Consider the following 26,276-nt stretch of genomic DNA (forward strand, 5'->3'; position numbering starts at 1 on the left):
CGTCCCAGGTTCATCTGTGTATCCCGACCTCCCCAAGGCTAAGAGAACTGGAGCCAGCTCCCTTTGCAGATGCTTGCCCTGGGGACTCCTCTCTGGGCACTGTTCTCCTATCATGTCAGCATTCCTCTATAATTTTTCAGTTGTTTCCCCCTTTGAACGTGTTACTCGGACACTTATTAAAACTCTACTACAGCCGAGCATGGTGGCTCATGCCTGTAATCCCAGCACTTTGGGAGGCCAAGGTGGGTGGATCACTTGAGGTCAGGAGTTTGAGACCAGTCTGGCCAATGTAGTGAAACCCCGTCTCTACTAAAAATACAAAAATTAGCTGAGTGTGGTGGTGCATGCCTGTAATCCCAGCTATCAGGAGGCTGAGGCAGGAGAATCTCTTGAACCCAGGAGGCAGAGGTTGCAGTGAGCTGAGATCATGCCACTGCACTCCAGCCTGGGTGACAGAGACAGACTCCATCTAAAAAACAAAAAACAAACAAACAAACAAACAAACAAACAAACAAAACTGTACTGCCAGCCTCTAGGAAATCTAGGAAATCACCATTCTGCCCTCCTGGAGCTCACAGTGCAATGGCCAGTCGGGGAGCCCTGGACGTGGTAATAGTAATTCCATGCTGTGGGAGGAGCTGTCAGGCCAGGATCTAGGCCAGAGTCTGGTCCTGAAATCAAACCCCTGCCTTCATCACAAAACCTCAGCCAGGCACTTGCTTGCCACAATCTCTTTTTCTCCCTCAGTTCCAAGAAAATGTGGAAACCTCGCCAACGCCCCTATGTCCTCCCTTAAGCATCGTGCCTGACATGGTTTGGCTCTGTGTCCCCACCCAAATCTCATATTGAATTGTACCCCCATAATTCAATACATCAATTCATCTTGAATTGTATTCCCATAATTCCCGTGTGTGGGAGATAACTGAATCATGGAGGCAGTTTCCCCCATACTGTTCTCATGGCAGTGAATAAGTCTCATGAGAGCTGATGGTTTGATAAGGGGAAACTTATTTCACGTGGCTCTCATTCTCTCTCTTGCCACCACCATGTAAGAAGTGCCTTTCACCTTCCACCGTAATTGTGAGGCCTCCCCAGCCACGTGGAACTGTAAGTCCAATAAACCTCTTTCTTTAGTAAATTGCCCAGTCTCAGGTATGTCTTTATCAGCAGCATGAAAACGGACTAATACAGTGCCCAAGATGTCATAGGACAAGTTCCCAAGAAAAGCTCAGAGGGTTAGGAGACTCTGAGCTCAGAGTGTAGAGGCCAAACAGCTAGAACCCTAAGGCCATATTAACAGAAGCATAGGCCCACTCATGGGAGGTGGCTATTTCTCTAGACTAGATGTTGAAACTCAAATGCCCAAGTGTCTAGCAGCACATAGAACACAGGAGTAAAGGGGCTGGTGTAAGGGGTTGGGAAGTCAGCACAGCTGGGCCTGGTCTGGATTATAAAAGGCTAGAGAGCGCAACTCTGCCCCCAATAGGGGCCACCTCTACTCAGCCAGCCAAGAGCTCTGTCTCATGGGAATGTGGTCCAGTGTGGCCCAATCTTCTTATTTTTGAGAGAAACCAGAAATCCAGATTTGTATGTGAATCTCTAGAATTTTAAACATTAAAAACAATTTCAAGTTATTTTCAACCATTATGCATGTCAATAGTGTGTGCTAAATAAAACGTATCTGGGGGCTTGATGAGGCCTCAGGCCATCAGTTTACAAACTCTACCCTGGACTGTGCTGCTCCAACACGTGATCCTTAGAGCCTCATGTTCTTTCTGCAGGCCCCACTTTAAGGCAAATAGGTGAGGCCCAGGACCCAGGGCCGACTCACCAGGGTGGAGAGGATCTGAAAGCTCGCCACGTGAGAAGTAGCTGAAGAAAATATTCCAGTGCTATTTGGGCTAGTGAAGAGGAGACACAGAGTTTGGGCAACTATGTTTTGGTTGTTGTTATTTTTTAAGACTTTTTGTTTTTAGATTCACAGCCAAGTTGAGAGGAAGGTACAGAGATTTCCCATATGCCTTCTGCCCCACACATGCCTGGCCTCCCCCATTATCAATGCCCCCCACTAGAGCACCAGGAGACTCTGAGCTCAGTAAGTACCCTGCAAATAGCTAAGAATGAAACAAACATTGTGCAAGGCAATGGTGAATGAATGGGTTAGTGAATCCTTGTGTTTACTTATCTTGTCCTCCCCAAAGCTAAGAGGGCTGGACCCAACTCCCTCTGCAGATGCTTTTCCTAGGACCCTCTCTCTGGGCACCTTTCTCCTCTGTTAGACCAGCATTCCTCTGTAACTCATTTGGTATAAAAGAATTTGTTACCATTGATGAACCTACAATGAAACATCATCACCACCCAGAGTCCACAGTCCATAGTTTGCATCATGGTTCTCTCTGGGTATCCCCATTATAGTATCATACAGAGCATTTTCACTGCCCTAAAGATCTTCTATGCTCTACCTACTCATACCTTCCCACCCTTACCCCAAGAACCCCTGGCAAACACAAATCTTTTTACCATCTCCATAGTTTTGCCTGAGAAACTATTTTTTAAACTAGAAAATTAGAGCATATGACCTCACCAAGTATGAATGTTCAGTTATCTACGGCTGTGTAACAACGTACCCCAAAATTTAGTGGCCTAAAACTACACTGAGGGCACCTGGGCAACATAGCCAGCCTCCTTCCCATCTCTACAAAAAATAAAATAAAAAGCTAGGCTTGGTGGCACACGTCTGTAGTCCTAGCTACTCAGGAGGCTGAGGTGGGAGGATCACTTGAACCCAGGAGTTGGAGGTTACAGTGAGCATGATCCTGCCACTGCACTCCAGCCTAGGTGAGAGAGTGAGACCCTTTCTCAAAAAAAAATGGGGAAAAAAAAACCTACACTAAGGGGTGGGGGAATGGGGAATTGTTGTGTAATGGCTACAGAGTTTCTGTCTGGAATGATGAAAAAGTTCTGGAGGTGGATAGTGATGATGTTTATACAACAATGTGACTGTACCTAATGCCACTGACCTGCACACCTAAAAGTAGCTGAAATGGTTAATTGTATGTTGTCTATATTTTACCACGATAAAAAAGCAGTGAATTTTATTTTGTATAAGTTAATAAAGCTAATAAATATCTTCAAATTTAGATTATTCTAATATGGTTACACTAAACTTTACTTAGTATATTATCACTGACTATGCAATGGAATATAATGACAGATCAACCAATTAATAGAAAAATATTTTCTCAGCCTAAAAAAAATGTCTACAGTGAGTTATTTTTTTCACAGTTGTGTGTATTGACCAGGGCTCTTCCATTCTCCTCCGTGTAACTTCTCAGCCTCTGCTAAGTTGGGTTTTTTCACAGCATGATGTGGCCTCAGGACAGGGAAAACTGCAAGGACTCTTAAGGCCTAGTTTCGAAGTCACATGACATCATTTCCACCAGAGTTCAGCCAGGGGAGCAGAATCCTGTGAGTGCTTTGAGATCCAGTATTTATTCTAGGAATCAGACCTAGAATTTGCATAATTGAGGGAAGCTGCGGAAGCAAAGGTCCAGAAGATCAGATGGAGGCCCAGGGGAGGCACTAACCTGTCACTTGGAGAAGCCAAGCACACCCAACATCAAAGGAGGACCCTGAAACGGGTGCTGGCAGAGAGGGTTGTGAAGAGCCGGTGCCTCTGCATGGCTCCCACCTCCGTGTGTCTGCAGCCACATGCCTGGTGATGAGCATGAGCCGCCATTGGCCAACAGGGTAGGTAGCCAGGGAGAAGAGCTGGAGGCAAAGGGAGAAGAACGAGGACAAGCTGGGACCCACCAGGCATCTCTTCATCTGTCACTCCATCTGACTGTGGCGACCTCAGAGAGTGATGGCTGATGCTTCTCTCCCACCTTCCAATCCTGAGCAGCTTCCTCTTTGCCCAGCTCTAACCTGAGTCCACAAAGGAAAGCAGAATTGCAAATTAACCAAGTTGACTAATTGCAAACCACCACAGTGGGAGTACTTGTGGGACAACAAGACAGGAGATTTGAAATCAGGGCTGTCCTGACAACTGTGGCATGTATGCTCTCTGGATATGGCACGGAGTGGCAGGTAAGGAGACTCTATCCTGTAGGGCAAACTCGTTTTCAGCAGCTCCAAAACAGAAGACCTAGGAAAGCCAATATGGGGTCTTAGAAAATAAGACAGATCTGGGTTTAATCCCAGCCCATCAGTTTACCAGCTGTGTGAGTTTGGACAAGTTGCCTAACCTCTCTGAACCTTAATTTCTCTATCTCTAAAATATGGCACAATAACCTCAGCTTCATGGAGATGTGCCTGCTGTGGTGCCTGGCTTCAGAGTTGGTACCCGGCTTCAGAGTTGGTACCCATTAGTCTCAATTTCCCTATCCCCCAACTCCAATGAGTGGGTGTGTCCAACATTGAGCTAGGCTGGGTGCACATTGGAGGAGCACAGTAAATATCTGTTTAATTGTGCAAGCTATAGGGAAGCATACTTTGGCTGAACTACAGAAGGTCATAACCATCCAATTCTAGCAAGGGCTCCTTTGGAGTAAAGAGTTTCCCTTTGCAAGATGTATGCAAGAGTATTGGAAAACCAGTTGGACCAGGTAAATTCTAAAGACTCCTATAGTTCCAATAAATTGACTCTACAGAAAAGCCAAATGAGTTTATGAAGAAGCATTTTCCCATTAATTTCAGAAATGTTCCATATTTATTATAAAATGCCCAGCACCATTCACTGTTGGTGGGATTATAAATTGATGCAACCTTTCTGAAGGGCAATTTGGCATGATGTATCAAGATTCTTAAAAATATCCACACCATTTGACCCTGAGGGAATTTGTCCTGAGGAAATAATCTGTAATGTGCCAGAGATATAAGTACGAGAATGTGCCTTGTTATTTATAATAGCAAAAAAGTGGAAATAATTGAACTGTCCAACAATAGAGGAATGATTAAATAAATTAGGATGCGGCCAAAAGATGGAAAGCCATGCTTCCATTAATCTTGTCTTTAAAAATACATCATGTATTTCCAAATGTAACATGGGGATTTTTCCCACAATTATCTTAGAAAACAGAAAATCTCTTTAAATTCAAATTCTTACAATGACTTTCCTATTAAGCATACTCTTTCTTAGTTACTTTATTTTAAACAACAAAGTACTGTTCGGGGAAATCACATTAGCCGTACCTGACCTCAATCAATGCTAGTTGGGGATGTTTATAGGGGTTACCTGAGGGAACCGGCAAAAAGGAGGCAAAGGAATTTAAGAGATTTAGTAATTATTCTCAGGGTTACAACCTCACAATTGCAAGTGTTGGCTGTCATTGTAAACAAGCCTTTAAAGGTCACCTTGAGAAGCAATCCAGTTAGCAGTTACGTTGTGGGTATCACGAATACACACTTATGGGACAAATGAAAAGACTGCCCTAATGTTATGCAAATAGGTACTCGTGGCTTAAAATACAATTGCCAGAGACAACATTGTACACAGATTTTAAAAGCATTGCATCTTAATCTCGAACAAGTTAGACAAAAGGGAAAATGGTGTGCTCCGGACAGCTATGTTGGGTAATTCATAAAAGCAGCCCCAGGGAAGATGGAAGCACAGATGTCAAAGATGCTGACAGAGTTGGTGAAATGTGAAATGGAAAAATGAATCTTTCTAAATTTAACATATTTTATATGTGGTTTAAATGTCTATGTGTAACTGAATTTGTCAATTAAACATTGTCAGTTAGCATTTGATGATTTCAGCTCTACCCCTAAATATTTGTATACTCAAGTTGGCCCCAAAACTTTTAATTAAATCTTCCAGATGGGAAAATTGGGCCCTTATATGCTTGGCTACCAGATATTTGGGCCCATATAATACATAGCTGTGAGAGAAAACATCTATGAAATAATGTTAAGTAGAAAACACAAATTACAAATGTTATGGTGTGATTCTGTTTAAATACACACACACACACACACACACAAGCACACACACACACACAAGCACACAAAAAAAGTGAACATAGAAAAAAGACTAGAAAGAACTGTACCAAAATGTTAACAATGATTATGTATGAGTAGTGAGATTATGAGATACATAATGCTTTTTACAGGAGGAGGGTTAAAAGTACATTAATGTTTTAACCAGGGAAAATAATTTTTAAAGGCTTTTATAAAAGTGATTTCTTTCTTAGATTGTCCCTTAAACCCTAAGAAAAGCTTTTGTCCCTTTTTATTCCTTAAATCTTCTGAGAATATGGTGGGGGTGGGGGTGATTTTGATAGAAATATATGTATTGATATAAGATGTACCTGACACAATAATGGGGGGGGGGGAAGAACAGTACTAAGCAATGTCAATAATATGTTTGTGGTATGATTCTTCTCTGAAAGAAGAGAAAGGGGAAGAGAGAAAGAAAGCAAGAGAAGGAGGGAAAGAGAGAGGGAGAGAAAGGAGGAAGGAGGGAGGGAAAAGAGGAAGGAGGGAGGGAAAGAAGGAAGGAGGGAGGGAAAGAAGGAGGGACAGAAGCATGGTGATTGCATATGACATATGTTTGCACACATGTAAGGGTAGGTCTGAAGGGAATGCATCAAACTGCCAACAGCCCCCCAGGGTGGAGGAATCTATACCCTTCTGTAGCGTTCATTTTTTTTCATTTGTGCAGTACATGTTTATAATAGGATGTAATTGACTTTTTGCTGATTCTACTGAAACGGGGAAATGCTGAGGGCAAGGCCCATCCGTTTGCTGCGGCTTCACTGCTCTGCAAATGAAAAAAATGTTTTTCTAATTACCCAATATTTTCTAGCCAACCCCCAAGCCTGTGGGGTATGAAGGAGTTTACGATCACAGCAACAAGCAGCATTCCTCTGGCTATAACTTCCATGTGCTGCTGCAGGACTTCCAGTCTCTAAGAGGACACAGAGACACAACTGAGCATGAAGAGCTGTTCACTGAGGGTTTTCTACATCCCAGGCACTTTGCCAAGTGCTTTCGCATGCATTCGCTTGTTAATCCTGAGTGCAATCTTCTATCCACTTTACAGGTGAAGAGACTGAGGCATTGAGAGGATAGGGATACACAGCTGGTCAGAGACAGAGCTCAGTGAGACTGACCCCAGACAGCCTGGGCACCCCATGGGCGACTCACATGTGCCCATAAACACACCCTCTCGGCTGCCACCTTACAGCTGACATTTGCCACCTTTCCTGATCTGAATCCATCAGTGAGAGCTGACGCCACAGCCTCTGCTGCCCATGCTCCTGTGGCCATGGCCAGTACCCACTACAAAGGGCACAGATATGGGGGCCGAGAATGCTGCTGCCCCAGGCTCTCAAGGCTGCCAGCACCCTCTACCACCACTGGGTTGGGGTTTTATGACTGGAGTGCTACTGAGATTGAATTGTTAGGATGACATCGAAGCCATTCCAGAATTCCCAAATCCTGCCTTGGCCCAGCTCCCTCCCTCCTCCTGAAAGGCCCTTAGGGAAAAGAGACATAACAAGGAAGACCCAGGGCCAGCACCTTCTTAGCTGGGCTCCAGTCCCAACCCCTAATACAAGCACACTGGGCTGGACCCACCCAGGACCCCTTTCCCTAAGCTAGGCTAAGTCACCCGCTTCCCAACCTGACCTCAGGCCTCACTACTATGAGACAAGACCTGGCTCCAGCACAAGCCCCACCCCCGCCCTGCCCTCAAGGACCAGAGAGAAAGCAGCAGTGAGATGGGGGTAAAGGAGAGTGCCCCCACTCCACCCCCGCAAGACCTACTAGTTGGGAGAGTGGAGGGAAAAGAAACACAGGCAGAGAACTTGATCTTCCACTGGAAACAGCCCTGCCCAACACTCCATCCTATCTCCTGCAAGGGCTGCAAGAGAGAGGAGGGCACACCCACCAGCCCTAGCTGTGGCCTCCAGGGGCTCCTTCACTTAGGCAACAAGCATCCTTCCTCCTTTGGAGGTGGTGAGGGGGCACAGTTTCTTGCCATCAATGCTGACCCATCTTCAGGCAGAGTATGGTGGGCAACGGGGGAGAGGGGAGAGGTCTCCTTGAGTCCCACCTGAGCTGCCTCAGTGCCCCCCAGCTGCTGCAGGTGAGGGCCTGTCACCATCAAGCCATCAGTGGGACAAAAAACTTGGGCCCTCAACCCACCAGCACTGCTCTGCATTCTCTGAAGCCCTGGAGATAAGCTGGGGACCATGGCCCCCACACTCTCAGACACAGATGACACAAGTGGGACCATTCTGAGCCTAAGAGATTTTACCAAAAATACCTCAATATGGTTTGGCTACGTCCCCACCCAAATCTTATCTTGAATTGTAATCGCCGTAATCCCCACGTGTTGAGGGAGGGATCCAGTGGAAGGTGATTAGGTCATGGAGGTGGTTTTCCCCATGCTGTTCTCATGATAGTGAGGGAGTTTTCACAAGATCTGATGGTTTTATAAGCCAGTTTCCCCTGCTCTTGCTAGCTCTCTCGTCTGCCACCATGTAAGACATGCCTCTTCCCCTTCCACCATGATTGTAAGTTTCCTGAGGCCACTCCAGCCATACGGAAATGTAAGTCAACTAAACCTCTTTTCTTTATAAATTACCCAGTCTTGGGTACGTCTTTATAGCAGTGTGAAAACAGACTAATACACATTTCCTTGTTTCTCCTTGCAGTCCTCTCCCCCATCACTTTCCAAGGACTCAGGCAGGAACTCAGGTGAGCACCCAGAATTGCCTCTCCCCTAAGAGCAAGCTGGCAGACCCCACTCTCCCCTCCCTTGGGATGCTTTCCCACCCTAGTGATGTCTCCAGATTCCCTCCAGCCAGCCCTCCGCCCCTCCATTCCCCCAGCCCTTGCCTGAACATGCCCAATCTCAGGTTAGCTCAGGGTAGAAAGAGCCCTCCCCTGCTCATCCCCATCTTCATCTCCACCTCCCTTTACTCACACAAGCTTAGAAGATAACAGCTGTCCACCAAACCTCCATCAGAGAGAGGTCCCGTCTCACTCAACTTGTCCCTGAATTGGCAGAGGTGTGACTGGCTTCCCAATGTCATAAGAAAAGGTCAGAGAAATCCACAGTAGTGTGCCTCAAGGGAAGCAGAGTTCCCAGGGGCTGGGGCTTCAGATCTGTGACCCCCTTTGGAAATAGGAGAAAGACCTAAGAACTTCTGGAAACCAACATCCATTTCTCATCTCAGATTTTATCTCCTCCTTGGTCTTCCTTTTGATCTTATTTTCAAGCCAGAGATGAGCATTTCCACATTGACTCCAGCTGATTATAACTGACTCCGAACCTTTCTAGTGATTAAAGTAGCTGTGAGGCTATGTTCTCCAGAGATCTGTACTGCAGGTTGAATAATTCAAGGCAGCCTTTCCAAAAGGCTGAGAGATCTGGGACAAAAAAAAATCACAGAAAAGAAAAGTTTTTTTTGTTTTTTTTTTTAAGAAAAAAGTAATTTCCCCCATGCTGGCTACACAATAAGCACTTGATAAACATTGGTTAATTCTGATTGATGTAAACACTGGGACAGAAATCAAATAGAGAGACTGGCAGTGACTGGGCAGGGCTGGGCTGGGGCAAGATACTGGATGCTTCCAGAGAGTGGAGCAGCTCAGGTGATCACCTCCTCTTTACCCACCGCTGGCTGATCTGCTTGGGAGCTTCTAGTGTTTTTCTGCATTGAAAGGAAGTTTGAGAAAACAGCAGAGGCATGGGGTAAGATGGCATCTGTTGCCCTAGCTCAACCTGCTGGGCTGAGATTGAATTCAGTGGAGGGGGTAAAGCCCAGAAGATGAAGGAGCTGTTTTCACGAAAGACTGTGTGAGACTTTGGGCCCAGGCTGAGCTGCTTTGGTGCCCACACAGCCAGGTTTGACACAGGAGGAAGAAGGAGAGGTGGGCCTTCTCTCCACCCCAGCTCTGGTGCCCTGCGGCAGGGTCTAAGGGACATGGAGCAGGGATGAAGCAGAAGCAGGGCCAGCTGTGCCAGGCAGAGTGCCCAGGAAGTGGTCTTCACACTGAGAAGTGAGCCGCATAGCAGTGACCAATTGCCACCTGCAAATGACAGTGCACAGAGGGCTTCCCCAGGAAGAGCAGAGTTAAAGAAAAGGCATAGATCGGAGAGCCTGCTGCCCCCAGCAACCCAACAGAGCAACCTTGTCCAGCCAGGGGAGACTTCAGGGGGAAGGGGAGCCCTCGCAAAAAGCAGATAGAGCTTGCTGCTCTTACAATCAAAGACTAATAATATGGTGGCTGTGTTCCCCAGCTGGTACAGTCTGGATGGTTCGGGTTCTAGAACCTCCTCCACATGATTGATCTGATGTTTGGCATCTCTATCTCATGGGAAACCCTATGCTAAGAAGGCTCTGGAATCTTCCCATCCAACCCCTCATCTTGTAGAAACTGAAGCCCCGAGAGTTTAGGCTGCCCAAGGTCACACAGCTAGTTAGCTAGAGAGGAGTGAGAGCCAGGATCCCTCATGCCCAGTTCCCAGGATTGTGTGTGTGTGTGTTGGGGGCTGGGGGTGGCAGGGGAGGAGAAACAGAGAGAGGTTGGGATCTGGGCCCATTGCATGAGACCACGAAACCATGCCAACACCTGTGCCAGCGACTCTGTCCACTGTGTTGTCAGCACCTCATGGAGCTGGAATCCCAGCTGCTGCTGCCACCTCCCCAAGGTTGCACAGTCAGCATCCACAGAGCCAATTCATCTACCTGTGGTTTAATGAGCATCCGATGCTATGACCAGGGACCTGGAGCCCAGAAAAATTCCAATTTCAAGCCCACTGTTTATAGTTAATTAGCATCACAACCCCACACCCTGGAGAGTCCAGGGGCACAGGAGCCACAGAGGCTGTGGCTTAGGGTGGCTCCCCAAACATAAGCCCTGACTCTAGGGGCACAGAGTCTCAGTGTTCAAACACCGGAAATGTCTCCAGTCATGGAAAATGAGCAAATAATGAGCAAATGCAATCTAATGTTGATCCAGAATGAGAGAAGTCCCAGCTTCTCTAGGCAGGACAGATCTTCAGGGAATGACGTACCCTCTGCTTCCAGACCTCCTCCTCCAAAACCACTTCAGGTTGGTGAATAAGACTTTATGAACTCAGGAAGAGCCCAGATAGAGGGGTTCAGATAGGTGAGCTATGCCACACCTACTGGGTTCTGTCCAGCCCCGTTTCCAGCTGCACCGATGAGTCCCTTCCCTGAGGACTGTGGGAAACTGGAGGTGGAGCGAGGTGGAGATCAAGTCCCACTGGGCAACTGGAGCTCAGAAACTGTGGGACGGGGCCTCTTCCACCCACCCTGTGGACCACAGAAGCAAAGGACTTCTAGCTTCAGAGAAAGCAGCATGAAGCGGAAGGAACAAAGGTGAGTTCAGGGAAATCCCAAATCAGACTCACTGTCATGCCCCTTGCTTGTCCTCTGGGGCTCACAGGCCCCTTTGCTCTGTTTCTGCTAAGTTGTTTCTCTTCTAGTTTGAACACTCAGGTTCTTCAACTGCCCTTTCCTGGGTATGATTCGGAAGGCCACCCTCATGTGAAACAGCCCCCACTGTGTCTCTGGGCCCTTTGGAGTACAGCATTGGAACACAGCCAGACGCACTGAGCTCAAGAGCTAGGAGTGGCCTGTGACAAGAACGGGGGACTGGCACCTTGCTGCTTCTCTGTTTATGAGAGGTCCCTCTGCCTGGGGGCAGCCACATCACTCGGCTGGATCACACAAAGGTCACGGTCTACTAGGACCCCTGTGTTTTTTCACGGTTGTTTTAGTAAAGCCACATTTTTCTCACATTCCTTCATTTCACTTTGGCGGGTCTCTCGGGATGCTGCCTTCTCATTGCCTGTTCCTCTCCATCATCTCCCTCCCCTTCTTCCCGTGGGGTCCCTGCCTTCACTCTGCCTCCTGGCACACCACACTGAAGCCAGGGTGTGCTGTCTAAAACACAGATCTGGCCACCCTATGCCCCCAGGTGAACCCTTCTGTGGCTCCCTGGGCCTATCAGAGAGTCAAACTCCTGGGAATAGTGAGGGTCCCCCAGGCACTGCCTAGCCCCATCTCACCAGCCTGTCTCCCTCCTCCTCCTCCACACCTGGAAGACGACATCACACCACACCACCAGCACTTGTTCTCCTAGTGGTGCCACACTTTGGGGCACACTGCTCCTTCCTCATGGCAGGTGGCTTGGGAGTCAGACAGATGGGGTTGGAATCTGAATTCTGCCAACTAGTGGTCTATAACCTGGAGAAACCCCATTCCCTCCCTGGGCTTCTGTTGTTACCCCATCATAAATGGGTAATAAAAGTACCCACTTTGCAGCACAGAGAAGAAGATTTGAAATAACTTGGGTCAATCATCAAGCATATGCCTTAAGTTACCCATAATGTACTTACTAGGACTCTATGCCCACATCCGTATTGCTAGAAAATTCCTATTCATATATCAAAACCTGGTTCAAGTGCCACCACATCCTTGAAGCCTTCTCGGATTCCTCACCCAGTCTCAGACTCCAAAAGAGCTCCTGCCTCTGACCTCACGGCCACTTCAACCTGCCTCTGATTGATTCCACGTACCCCACAGTGTCATCATCTGCATCTGGGTCTGACTCCCCAAACTCATGTCTGAGCCCCGCCAAGGCAAGGACCAGGTCTGACTTCTCTCTCCTCAGTGCAAAGCCTGGCACACAGACAAAGTCCGTAGATGTTTATTTAATTGAATCATGTTGAATTATTCATACCTTATTGAATTCTGTCACCCAGCATATTCCCCATCCCTCCCACCTTGTAGAAGTTGGAACTCCTCCTTCATCAATAACAATAATAATAGTGAAACCTTATTGATTACTTCTTGTGTGCCAGGCACCTTCTAGGTGCGTACCTCATAATTAGCTCAGTTAATCCTTTCAACAAGCCTACTGAGATGAACACTGTTTTCCAAATGAGGAAAAATAGGCCTTTGTTTTCCTAATGAGGAAACTGAGGCTCAGGGAGTTGAGTTTCATGTCTAAAGTTCAGCAGCCAGGAAGTGGAGGGGCTGGATTTGAGGCCATGTGTTCTAGTTAAGAACACTTGTCCTTTTTTAGCTTTTTATTTTAAAATAATTTTAAGTTTATGGAAAAGTTACAAAGATGGAGCAGAGAATTCTCATATACTCTTCACCCTTTTCCTCTAATATTTAGGTCTCACCTAGCCATGGTATGTTTATCAAAATTTAAAAATTAACATGGCACACTATTATTAACCAAACTACAGACATTATTAGGATTTTCCCAGTCTTTCCACTCACGTCCTTTTTCTGTTTCAGGACCTAATCCAGCATCCCGCATTGCATTTAGTCATCCTGTCTCTTTGTCTCCTCTGATCTGTGACCATTTGTCAGTCTTTCATTGTCTTTCATGACCCTGACACTTTTATTTTTTAACAGAGTTTCGCTCTTGTTGCCCAGGCTGAAGTGCAGTGGTGTAATCTTGGCTCACTGCAACCTCTGTCTCCCAGGTTCAAACGATTCTCCTGCCTCAGTCTCCAGAGTAGCTGGGATTACAGGCATGCACCACTACGCCCAATTAATTTTGTATTTTTTGTATTTTTTATTTTTTTAGTAGAGATGGGATTTCACCATGCTGATCAGGCTGGTCTCAAACTCCTGACCTCAGGTGATCCACCTACCTCGGCCTCCCAAAGTGCTGGGATTACAGGCACGAGCCACCGCGCCCAACCACCCTGACACTTTTAAAGAGCAGCATCAGGTATCTTACAGGATATTCGTTAGTCTAGGTTTGATGGATATGTTCTCATGAATAGTCTGAGGTTACAGATTTGGGGAAGCGTACCACAGAGGTGTGGCACCCTTCTCCTCACATCGTATCAGGGGCCGCATGATACCAGCATGACTTGTCACCTTGACCACATGGTTAAGCTGATGTTTCTAGGTCTCTCCACTGTGGAGTGACTATCTGACTGCATTTGCTTTTAACCACCACACTCCGATGACTCTCAGTCAATGTCACTGATGCTGGAAAAGAATGATGCCTGGCAGAACAGGGGATTCCAGTACAGAGCCCAGAGAAAAAGGATTCTGGAGCTGTCCAAGGTGGGGCTAAAGGGCCAGTGGCCCCCTAGGGCACCCAGAGCATCAGGAAAGGCATTCTCCCTACAGTTGGAGCCACCAAGAAAGGCTTCCCAGAGACAGCGGGACTAAGGAGGGATCTGTACAGGTGACAGGGAGGGACATCTACTCCAGGCAGGGGAACCAGCACCAGCGTGTACATACTCACAAGGAGACGAGAGCATGGACAAGGTCTAGATAAGGCAGTGGCTGGACTAAAATCACACAAAGGTCATGATAGCCATCTCTCTGTCTCCAGGCAGAATGATTCTAAAACTTTCCCAGTCCCTTGAAAACATCTCCACATCTGTAACCTAGAAACTCAGAGCAATGGTTTCCAGACAGGGGCAAGATCAAGCCAGCAGAGCATTCCACACTTCCCCCACCCACCGTCCGCCAGTCTCTGTGTTCCCGCTGCACTTGGACGCTCTGCCTGGTATTTATCACAGCTGCCTCTGCTCCTGGATGCAAGCGTGCTTGTCTGAGTTCCCCACTAGACTGCAGCAAGGGCGGGGCCCCGCCCCATCCTCCTTTGCCTCCCATCCCCCTCCTCCTCCAGGCACTGAGCTCAGAGCCTGACACACAGTAGGGGCTTAGCAAATGCTTGTGGAAAGGCAGGAAGAAAACAGATTCACTTCTGCAAGAAGCTTTGAGAATATTCTGAAGACATTTTGTGACTCGCACTGACTTCCAAAGCGCAGAAAATCATTTTAAAAACTGATGACTGTGAAATTTCAATTATATTCACAAGGAGAGCCAAAGTAAGCTGCAAGAAGCACAAAACAGCAGCTTTGCATTTGAGAAGCCAAAGAGCCTGGAATAAGAGCAAGCAGGATGCGGACCAGCCTTGAAGCCAGATCCAGCTGTTTTCAGAGATGAGCTGCACATGAGCAAACTTGAATTCATAGCCCTTGAAAGAGAGGACAGTTCCAGGGACATCAAACGTCTGTAAGGATAGCTGAGTCAATCCCATGAACCTACTGCCAAAAATAATTTAGTGCTCAGAGGCTGCATTAATAGAGGTACAGCACCTACACAAAAGGAGGTAATAGATCTGTTCAACGTACAGAGAATGGCACAGTCAAAGAATTGGGTTCAGAAAGACAAACCGGATTTTGTGTAGAGGTCTTAAGAATGGAGAAAGGCCTGGAGTTAGCCAGTGAAAGGGCAGGAAGAGTGTTCCAGACAGCAGGAAAATATATGTAAAGCATCTGCAGAACAAATCCTAACTCTTTCTAAAGGCCTGTGAGAAAGGCCAGCGTGGCTTAAGGAGAGAAAGTAAATTGTAGCCAGACTTAAGGCTGGAGAAGTGGGTAATAACCAAAGCCACAGGGATTTTTGGGTCATACAGAGTTTGGGTTTCACCCCTAAGAGCAATGGAAAGCCCTAATCTGTCCTGTCCTTGCATATTGGGCAGAGACCCATACTGGGCTAAAGTCCTAGACACACACACACACACAGACACACACACACACACACACACACACACACACAGAGAGAGAGAGAGAGAGAGAGAGAGAGAAAGGACAACTCTTCCATGTCCAGTAGGAACACCGCATTGGAAGAGCTTCAAAGGAGCAGGAACTGGGGATCCCCTGAGCCTTGACTCTGGCAACAGGGCCCAGTGGAGAACTTAGCCAAAGCTCTCATTGAACAACCTGCATTCTCTTTTAGACCTGGCCCTCAGGGATCTCAGAGAACCAGCAGCTGGCAGAAAAAGCTTTCTGCAGCAGAATTACATGATTTCAACTTTTTTTGCCTCATCCTGCAGAAAACTGGGGCCAGAGCTCACCTCTTTCCTGCTGTACTTCTCTTAAAGTCAAAGAAGTAACCACTTGCTTCACTCTTCCTACAGAGTACATTGCCAAGTCTCTGGCCACCCCATGGTGGGTACACATCTGGGTTCCTAGGGATCACTTCTTAGGTGCCTCACTGCAGTGAAGCACAGATGTGATCCTTTCATCCCTGGGTGTGAAGGAGAGTCCCATTGCCCTCTGCCCCACACTACCACCAGCAGCCCCGATTTTCATATTTCCATATTTCAGGTTTCCTAGAACCTCCTCCATGGATGCCTCCAGAAATAAGTTGCAGCTGCTGCTTTTGCTGCCGTCTCACAGGAATGGCTTCTGTAGGTACCTGTTTCTTGACTCCCTAGTCAAAGTCTAGGATGGGTGTGTCTGCTCTGCAGAACCAAAGTTCCAAGCCTAGGCCCCAACTTCAAGGAAGGTTAGGCAAGTGAGTTTTCAGATTCTCTACTGAGGCTGTCTGGTTCCCACCAAGAATCAAAAGCTGGAAAAATTCCCAAACATGGTGTGACGGCTAATACTCAGTGTCAACTTGATTGGATTGAGGGATACAAAGTATTAATCCGGTGTGTCTGTGTGGGTATTGCCAAAAGAGATTAACATTTGAGTCGATGGGCTGGGGAAGGCAGATCCACTTTTAATCTGGTGGGCATAATCTAATCAGCTTCCAGTGAATATAAAGCAGTCAGAAAAATGTGAAAAGGAGAGACAGGCTTAGCCTCCCAGCCTACATCTTTCTCCTGTGCTGGATGCTTCCTGCCTTTGAACATCAGACTCCAAGTTCTTCAGTTTTGGGACTCAGACTGGCTCTCCTTTCTCCTCAGCTTGCAGACAGCCTATTGTGGGACCTTGCGATTGTGTAAGTTAATACTTAATAAACATATATATATGTTTGCTTGGTTAGCTGAAATATGGATATATATATCCGTCTATATCTATATCTATATCTATATCTATATATATCCTATTATTTCTATCCCTCTAAGAGAACCTAATACAGATTTTGGTACCAGGAGTGGTTCTAAAGGAACAGAATATTAAGGATGGAGTTCCTTTGTTGGTTTTGGGGTTTCTGGAGGTGACTGCTTAATATGATTAGATCCAAAAATGCTAAGGACTCTACTTCTAATAGTATGGAGAACACTGATAGTCCTTGGCATGAACTCTTTAGAGAGTTATACAAAATAAATGCATTTGACACTCCTGATTCACCACTCATGAGAGGCAAGGAGTTTAGTGACTCTATACATAATACCTTTGACCATATGTGGAGAACCAAGGAATATAATGAAGCTAGTTGGCTGCTCCTAAGTTCAGTTGACAAAGTGATGAAAGAAAATGATGAAATCAGGGATTCTGTCTCCTAGCTTCAAAAGCAGATACTAAGCCTCAAATCTGCTGAGGCTGCCCTCAGTAAGAGTCTTATCTCCTGTAGAGAAAGAGCTGAAATTGTGGAAAAACAGACACAAGCTCTTATGTAAGTGGCTGACCTGCAACGAAAGGTGCATGCATAGCCTCACCAGGTGTTTACTGTTAAAGTGAGGGCATTGATTAGAAAAGAATGGGACTCTGAAACTTGGAATGGGGACACGTGGGAGGACCCTGATGAAGCTGGGGACACTGAGTTTGTGAACTCTGATGAACCTTTTTTGCCAAAAGGAACAGCTTTCTCATCCCAAGTAGTGGCAACATCCCCTCCCAGACCCATGCTGCCATCAGCCTTTCCACCGTTGCCTGAGGAGATAAACTCTGTGCTGCCTAAGGCAACAGTGATGGCCTCTCCTGAGGCAGTTGCCAGGCAAAATAATGTCGATTCTCTTCAGGAGCCACCCCCAACACCCCTGTTTGCTTCTAGACCTAAAACCACACTAAAGTCCCGGTGAGCCCCTGGAAATGAGGTTGAGAGTGTGACCCATGAGGAGGTGTGCTACACTCGAAAAGAACGGTTTGAGTTCTCTAATTTATATAAATGGCAATCCAGAGAACAAGCACGGCAATGGATATTAAGAGCATGAGATAATGGTGGAAGGAACATAGAGTTGGATCAAGCTGAATTTATTGATTTGGGTCCACTAAGTAGGGACTCTGCATTTAATGTTGCAGCTCGAGGAGTTAAAAAAAAAAAAGTTCTAATAGTTTATTTGCATGGTTAGCTGAACTATGGATTAAAAGATGGCCACTGTGAGTCAGCTGGAAATGCCTGATCTCCCTTTGTTTAATGTAGAGGAAGGCATCCAAAGGCTTAGGGAGATTGGGATGGTGGAGTTGATTAGTCACTTTAGACCTACTCATCCCAGCTGGGAAAGTCCAGAAGATATACCCTTGACCAATGCCTTGCAAAATAGATTTGTGAGGGCAGCACCTGCATCTTTGAAGAGCCCTGTAATTGCTCTTTTTGTATGTCAGAACTAATGGTGGGAACCACGGTCACTCAACTACAAAATTTAAATACAATGGGAGTAATTGGATCTCGAGGTGACAGGGACCAAGTGGCAGCACTCAACCATCAAAGGCAAGGTGGGCATAGCTACCATAATGGACAGCAGAGGCAAAGCTGCAATCAGAATAGTCTGATTCACGTAGCACTCTGGCACTGGCTAATTAATCATGGTGTTCGTAGAAGTGAAATTGATAGGAAGCCTCCTGCTTTCCTACTTAATTTATACAAGTAGAAAACTCCTAGGTCAAATGGACAAAAGACTAATTTGAATTATAGAAACAGAGAATCACAGCCCCTCAATCAATTTCCAGACTTGAGCCAGTTTAGAGACCCAGAACTCCCCTGAATGAAGGGGAGGCCAGGTCCCCTTGAGGAAGGACCCCACTACATTACTGACAATTTATGCAGTGAATCTTTCTCCCATCTTTCCCCAAGGAGACCTCCAGCCTTTTACCAGAGTAACTGTGCACTGGGTAAAGAGAAATGATCAGACATTTCAGGAACTACTGAACACTGGCTCTGAGCTGACGTTGATTCCAAGGGATCCAAAACGTCATTGTGGTCCTCCAGTTAAAGTAGGGGCTTGTGGAGGTCAGGTAATTAATGGAGTTTTAGCTCAGATCTGACTTACAGTGGGTCCAGTGAGTCCCTGGACTCATCCTGTGGTCATTTTCCCAGTGCCAGAATGCATAATTGGCATAGGCATACTTAGCAGCTGGCAGAACCCCCACATTGGCTCCCTGACTGGTAGGGTGAGTGCTATTACGGTGGGAAAGGCCAAATGGAAGCCATTAGGGCTGGCTTTACCTAGAAAAATAATAAATCAAAAACAGCATCACATCCCTGGAGGGATTGTGGAGATCGGTGCCACCATCAAGGACTTGAAGGACACAGGGGTGGGGATTCCACCACGTCCCAGTTCAACTCTTCCATTTGGCCTGTGCAGAAGATAAATAGATCTTGGAGAATGACAGTGGATTATTGTAAGCTTAACCAAGTGGTGACTCCAATTGCAGCTGCTGTACCAGATGTGGTTTCTTTGCTTGAGCAAATTAACACATCTCCTGGTACCTGGTATGCAGCCATTGACTTGGCAAATGCCTTTTTCTCCATTCCTGTCCATAAGGCCCACCAGAAGCAATTTGCCTTCAGCTGGTAAGGCCAGCAATATACCTTTACTATCCTACCTCAGGGGTATATCAAATTTCCAGCTTTGTGTCACAGACTTATTCAGAGAGACCTTGATCACTTTTCACTTCTGCAAGATATCACACTGGTCTATTACACGGATGACATTATGCTGATTGCATCCGGTGAGCAGGAAGTAGCAAACACGCTGGACTTACTGGTGAGATATTTGTGTGTCAGAGGATGGGAAATAAATCTGACTAAAATTCAGGGAACTTCTACCTCAGTAAAATTTCTAGGGGTCCAGTGGTGTGGGGCTTGTCGAGATATTCCTTAAGGTGAAGGATAAGTTGCTGCACTTGGTGCCTCCTACAGCCAAGAAAGAGGCACAATGCCTAGTGGGCCTATTTGGATTTTGGAAGAAACACATTCCTCATTTGTGTGTGTTACTCCAGCCCATTTATTGAGTGATCCAAAAGGCTGCCAGTTTTTAGTGGGATCCAGAACAGGAGACAGCTCTGCAACAGGTCCAGGCTACTGTGCAAGCTGCTCTGCCACTTGGGCCATATGACCCAGCAGATCCAATGGTGCTTGAGATGTCAGTGGGAGATAGGGATGCTGTTTAGAGTCTTTGGCAGGCTCCCATAGGTGAATCACAGAGGAAGCCTCTAGGATTTTGGAGCAAAGCCCTGCCATCTTCTGCAGATAACTACTCTCTTTTTGACAGCTCTTGGCCTGTTACTTGGCTTTGGTGGAAACTGAATGTTTGACTATGAGTCAAGTTACCATGTGACCTGAACTGCCTATGCTGAACTGGGTGCTTTCTGACCCATGTAGCCATAAAATGGGTCGTGTACAGCAGCATTCCATCATCAAATGGAAGTGGTATATATGTGATCGGCCTCCAGCAGGTCCTGAAAGCACAAGTAAGTTACATGAGGAAGTGGCTCAAATGCCCATGGTCTCCACTCCTGCCACCCTGCCTTCTCTCCCCCAGGCTGCACTGATGGCCTCATGGGGAGTTCCCTATGATCACTTGAAAGAGGAAGAGAAGACCAGGGCCTGGTTCACAGATGGTTCTGCACAATATGCAGGCACCACCCAAAAGTGGGCAGCTGCAACACTACAGCCCCTTGCTAGGACATCCCTGAAGGACAGCGGGGAAGGGAAATCTTCCCAGTGGGCAGAACTTCAAGCAGTGCACCTGGTTGTCCACCTTGCATGAAAGGAGAAATGGCCAGATCTGCGATTATGTACTGATTCATGGACTATAGCCAATGGTTTGGCTGAACGGTCAGGGAATTGGAAGAAGCATGTTTGGAAAATTGATGACAAAGAAATCTGAGGAAGAGGTATATGGATGGACCTCTCTGAGTAGTGAAAAACTATGAAGATATTTGTATCCCATGTGAGTGCTCACCAAAGAGTGATCTCAGTGGAGGAGGATTTTAATAATCAAGTGGATAGGATGGCCTGTTCTGTGGACACCACTCGGCCTCTTTCCCCAGCCACCCCTGCCATCGCCCACTGGGACCATGAACAAAGTAGCCATGGTGGCAGGGATGGAGGTTACACATGGGCTCAGCAACATGGACTTCCACTCACCAAGGCTGACCTGGCTACAGCCATTGCTGAGTGCCTAATATGCGAGCAACAGAGACCAACACTGAGCCCTTGGTATGGCACCATTCTTCGGTGTGATCAGCCAGCCACCTGGTGGCAGGTTGATTATGCTGGACCTCTTCCATCATGGAAAGGGCAGAGGTTTGTCCTCACTGGAATAGACACTTACTCCAGATATGGGCTTGCCTATCCTGCACATAATGCTTCTGCCAAGACTACCATCCGTGGACTCACGAAATGCCTTATCCACCATCATGATATTCCACACAGCATTGCCTCTGACCAAGGCACTCACTTTGTGGCTTAAGAAGTGCAGCAGTGGACTCATGGTCATGGAATTCACTGGTCTTACCATGTTCCCCATTATCCTGAAGCAGCTGGATTGATAGAATGGTGGAGTGGCCTTCTGAAGTCGCAATTACAACACCAACTAGGTGACAATATTTCACAGGGCTGGGGCAAAGTTCTCCAGAAGGCTGTGTATGCTCTGAATCAGTGTCCAATATATGGCAGTATTTTTCCCATAGCCAGGATTCACAGGCCCAGGAATCAAGGGATGAAAGTGGAAGTGGCACCACTCACCATCACCCCTCGTGATCCACTAGAAAAATTTTTGGTTCCTGTTCCTGCAACATTACATTCTGCTGGCCTATGGGTCTTAGTTCTAGAGGGAGGAACACTGCCACCAGGAGACACAACAATGATCTCATTAAACTGGAAGTTAAGATTGCTACCTGGACACTTCGGGCTCCTCCTACCTTGAAGTCAACAGGCTAAGAAGGGAGTTACAGTGTTGGCTGGGGTGATTGACCCCGACTATCAAGATGAGATCAGTCTACTACTCCACAACGGAGGTAAGGAAGAGTATGCATGGAATACAGGAGACCATTAGGGTGTCTCTTAGTATTACCATGCCCTGTGATTAAGGTCAATGGGAAACTACAACAGCCCAATCCAGGCAGGACTACAGATGGCCCAGACCCTTCAGGAATGAAGGTCTGGGTCACTCCCCACCAGGAAAAAACAAAAACAAAAAACAAACACACACACACACATGACCTGCTGAGGTACTTGCTGAAGGCAAAGGGAATACAGAATGAGTAGTAGTAGAAGGCAGTAGTCAATACCAGCTACAACCGCATGACCAGCTGCAGAAATGAAGACTGTAACTGTCATGAGTATTTCCTCTTTTGTTAAAAACATGTTTATGCATGTATACACTTCTACCAAAGAAAAATTCATTTTATTTCCTTTTTCCTTTATAATGTGACGTAAGATTTATTGACTTCATGTCAGCATGTAAGTATTGTTAACTTTATGTAATAGCATTTGGGTTGGGGATTGGTGCATTTCCAGTTGTACAAAGGATAGTTGTATTATGTTAGCCGTAATTACAACCTTGTTATTGTCTTTATTTGAAGATTATGTATGCTCTCAGAGGTGCGTATGGGTTCAAGTTGACAAGGGGTGGACTTGTGACAGTTAATACTGAGTGTCAACATGATTGGATTGAGGGATACAAAGTATTGATCCTGGATGTGTCTGTGTGGGTGTTGCCAAAAGAAATTAACATTTGAGTCAGTGGGCTGAGGAAGGCAGATTCACCCTTAATCTGGTGGGCACAATCTATTCAGCTTCCAGTGAATAAAAAGCAGGCAGAAAAATGTGAAAATCCCAGCCTACATCTTTCTCCTGTGCTGGATGCTTCCTGCCCTCAAACATCAGACTCCAAATTCTTCAGTTTTGGGGCTCAGACTGGCTCTCCTTTCTTCTCAGCTTGCAGACAGCCTATTGTGGGACCTTGTGATCATGTAAGTTAATACTTAATAAACTCCCCTACATACACACACACACACATATATATATGGATATATACATATCCCATTAGTTCTGTCCCTCTAAGAGAATCCTGACTAATACACATGGGAAGGTGGTTCTGATGCTAAAAAGACCAGTAAGTATGGTGTATGCCCACTGCAGGTGGTTTCATACAACCCAGCTCCTGGTACCAATTTCTATCCTTGTCAAGGCTCTCTTAGTTTTAGGAAGCAGTAAATACAAGACCAGGAGTGATGGGGGTTGGACCCAGGATCCTCATAAACTCCTGCCAGCAGCAAAGAGTGGGACTTGAGGGTCCCACCTGGGCAGACCCTCCACACTCATTCCTGATGGGGATGGAAAATCAAAGCCATCAGCAGAATCCAAGTGATGAGCTGAGCTGTCTGTCTCCCTTCCCCCAGGATGGCCAGTGTTGCAGGGGCTGAAGACAAAAGTTGCAGAGACTTTGTCCTAAAGAACAAGCAGGCAAAGAGAGACTGGCCCCCTCCCCACAGCCTGACCCCAACATACCCTGGAAGCTCCTGCTTCTTTACTTGAAGTCCCACATCAAGATTTCTGGGAGGCAACCACAAGTTCCCCAGCATGAAGCCAGACTTCATCCTCTTCCTCAGGTCCTAAGTTCCTAACTCCTTAGAGGCTGTCTATCTGCACTCCTGGGCCCTTCCAAGATGGAAAACCACACAAAGAGGCCAGGACATCTGTCTCCTGGGAAACTCCTACACCTTATAAAATCCTCTCCTGACACTCCAAGCCCAGAGGAGCCCACTTGGCAGAAGGAGAGTACAGAGGCCAAGTTCTGTCTCTGAGCCAGCCAAGGAGTGGGTGGCATCTGCCAGCCAACACTCCCTCTTTCTTTCCAGGCTTGTAATTACCTAAGACTAGGTAGAGGCTGGGAAGGAGGGCTACCCCAGGGAAACATGCTAAAATTAAACCACAACGAGAGCAGGATGACTAAAGCTTCCCCCCGTGATTAATTTGGACACACCACACTGGCCATCTCTTAACAGAAATTAGATGAAACCTTTAGGGAAAAGGAGTGCTCTGTGTTACATAATCACACACTTGAGATACCAACCCCCCACCCTCCACCTCCTCCCCTTTTGCCTAGAGAAAAGAATAACAGTAATAATTAAGCTGGTATATTTACGGTTCTGGAAATCAGCCGTTCTGGGCCACACCTGCCAGGGTCGAGCTGAGCTGTGGAAGGACTCTGCAAGACATCCCTAAGTCTGCCCAACTGTAGCAGGCAAGACGAGGGAGCTGCCAACATCCCTCCTTCAGGGACAACACAAGGGCCATTTAGAACACCTCGTTGGTGGGGTCAAGGAGAGGAAGCCCAAGACTCTGAAGGGCATTTCATGTCGTGAAATCCAGCCGGCGGCCCGGGCGCATCGTTCAGCGTAAGCCATACAGATTTATTTATATTTTGCACGAAAGAGGGAAATTACTTAGCTGTAGGGATCAATTCTTCAATCCAATGTTTCTAACATGGCAATAAATTTATTTCACCGTCTCCTTTTTTCTTTTCCCTCTTCTTGAGCTTAAAGAAATAAGCCGCCCTCTGGGGAGGCAAAGGGAGAAAGGACATTCAAAGCAAGTCAGTACCCTGAGAAACCAGCCATCCAGCCAGGAAGCCACTCACTGAGGCAGCTGGCTTTGTGGCACGAGCACTGGTGTTGGAGTCAAGAGACCCAAGTTCCGACCCTGGATCTGCCCCTTTTCTGCAGCATAAGTAACCCTGAGCAAGTCAGTGCTCCATTTTGTAATCCCTGAAATGGGGATAGCTGGGTTGGTGTGAGAAGTAAATAAGACCAGGAATATTCAGGCTTCCAGGTCAGCTCCAGATACAACATCAACATGATTGATTGAAGATGAATTTCAATCAGATTTGATGGTGTGACCCATAGCCTCTCTCTATCCAAGTTGCATAGATTGTGATGCTACAGAGATGTCATAGCTGAAGCAATGGAATATCAGGGGCCATTTCTCAAGGCCAGAGAGTACTTGGAGCTCCCTCCCCTCACAGGGACAAGGTGAATGTGGGATGTTTGTGACAGCTCTGACCTAAGACACCAAAGCCCAGGAGAGCCTCCAGAAGCTGGGCAGGTGTGATGAATGGTCCCTCCAGCACGACACAACTCTTCACTGGAGACAGGCTCGGGCTGATGTATGGTCCAGGTAAATGCAGCTTCTGGTTAATACGATGCTGTAATGGAAAAACATTAGCATGAGATTGACTTGGAGGAAACCACATCATGGGGATGAGGGCCAGGGAAGTGACAGGAAGCTTTCCTCCTGGAAGATGCTTGAAGGATGGTCTGGATAGAGGCAATAACCCGGACCAAAGCAAGAAGATGAGCAGCAAAAGGGATGCTGGGAAAATCACAGAAAAGCTCATCCAGGCCGGGGGCAGTGGCTCACATCTGTAATCCCAGTGCTTTGGGAGGCCGAGGCCAGAAGATTGTTTGAGTCCAGGAGTTCAAGACCAGCTTGAGCAACATAGTGAAACCTTGTCTCATCTGTCAAGACCTGTGCCAAGCGTCTCCTCTTCCAGGAAGATCTTTCTCACCTAGGGCTGCGTCCCTGCTCCAGAGCAGCAATTGATCGTACTCCTGGAAGGATCAGACTCCTTTATGGCATCATTCAAGACCTCCAGATCTGGCCCCAGCCTACCTTAATTCTTCTAGACTTTCATTCTCCAAATCCAGTCCTGACCACCCAGGTCCAGGCCTTTGCTCCAGACACTTCCTCCATGTAGAATGCCTCCCCTCCTCCACTTTCACCTATCGAGACTCTAAGTATCTCCTTAAGTCCAATCCAAATGCCCCGCTTTTCTAGAACACCACCCTAGGCCATCCAACCCCCTGAATTCTTGTCATCCTGCCACCCTGAATCCATAGAACACTTTGTCCTTCGCACGGGGCTCCTTATGTAGCTTACCATGTTGCACTGACATTCATTCAAAAACAAATATTTATTAAAGGTGGATACACAAACATGGCATAGGCAGACAGTGGAACTCCACTCTGCAATGAAAAGGGAACAAATTACTGATAAACACAACATGGATCTCGAAAATATTATGTAGAGTAAAAGAAACCAAACACACGAGTTTGAGCTCTTTACAAGTTCAAGAACAGGCAAAACTAATCTATGGTGATAGAAATCAGAAAAGCAGTTGCATCTGGTAACAAGGGGATTGACTCACAGGCAGGCAGAAATCAGAATTTCCTAGGGTGAAGAAAAGGTTCTGATTCTGTGTTGTCCAACACAGTAGGCACTAACCACATGTGGCTATTCAGCACTTAAAATATGGCTAGTCTGAACTGAAATGTGCTTTAAGTATAA

At 46.7% G+C, this 26,276-nt stretch overlaps 1 long non-coding RNA gene across 3 annotated transcripts, besides 1 other annotated feature; it reads right to left on the reverse strand.

Moving 5' to 3' along the window:
• Nucleotides 1-3,067: 3,067 nt before the first annotated feature.
• LOC107984942 (uncharacterized) lies at nt 3,068-25,177 on the reverse strand. Of its 3 annotated transcripts, none has more exons than XR_001737979.2 (3): nt 24,993-25,177; nt 3,814-3,927; nt 3,068-3,534 (listed from the first exon to the last, which is right to left on the reverse strand). It is a non-coding gene; the product is annotated as an uncharacterized LOC107984942 (long non-coding RNA). The 3 variants fall into 3 exon arrangements; XR_001737978.2 differs by adding an exon at nt 8,936-9,381 and having other exon boundaries at nt 3,068-3,927; XR_007065850.1 differs by having other exon boundaries at nt 3,068-3,927.
• Nucleotides 13,375-13,562: a silencer, noted in NCBI's record as "fragment chr1:37827606-37827793 (GRCh37/hg19 assembly coordinates)". NCBI's record gives its function as "represses an EF-1alpha promoter that drives an FKBP-Casp9 reporter gene in an ReSE screen in K562 erythroleukemia cells {active_cell/tissue: K562}" and the evidence as "EXISTENCE:reporter gene assay evidence [ECO:0000049][PMID:32094911]".
• Nucleotides 25,178-26,276: the final 1,099 nt, after the last annotated feature.

This window comes from Homo sapiens, chromosome 1, assembly GCF_000001405.40.
Source record: "Homo sapiens chromosome 1, GRCh38.p14 Primary Assembly".
Taxonomy (NCBI): domain Eukaryota; kingdom Metazoa; phylum Chordata; class Mammalia; order Primates; family Hominidae; genus Homo; species Homo sapiens.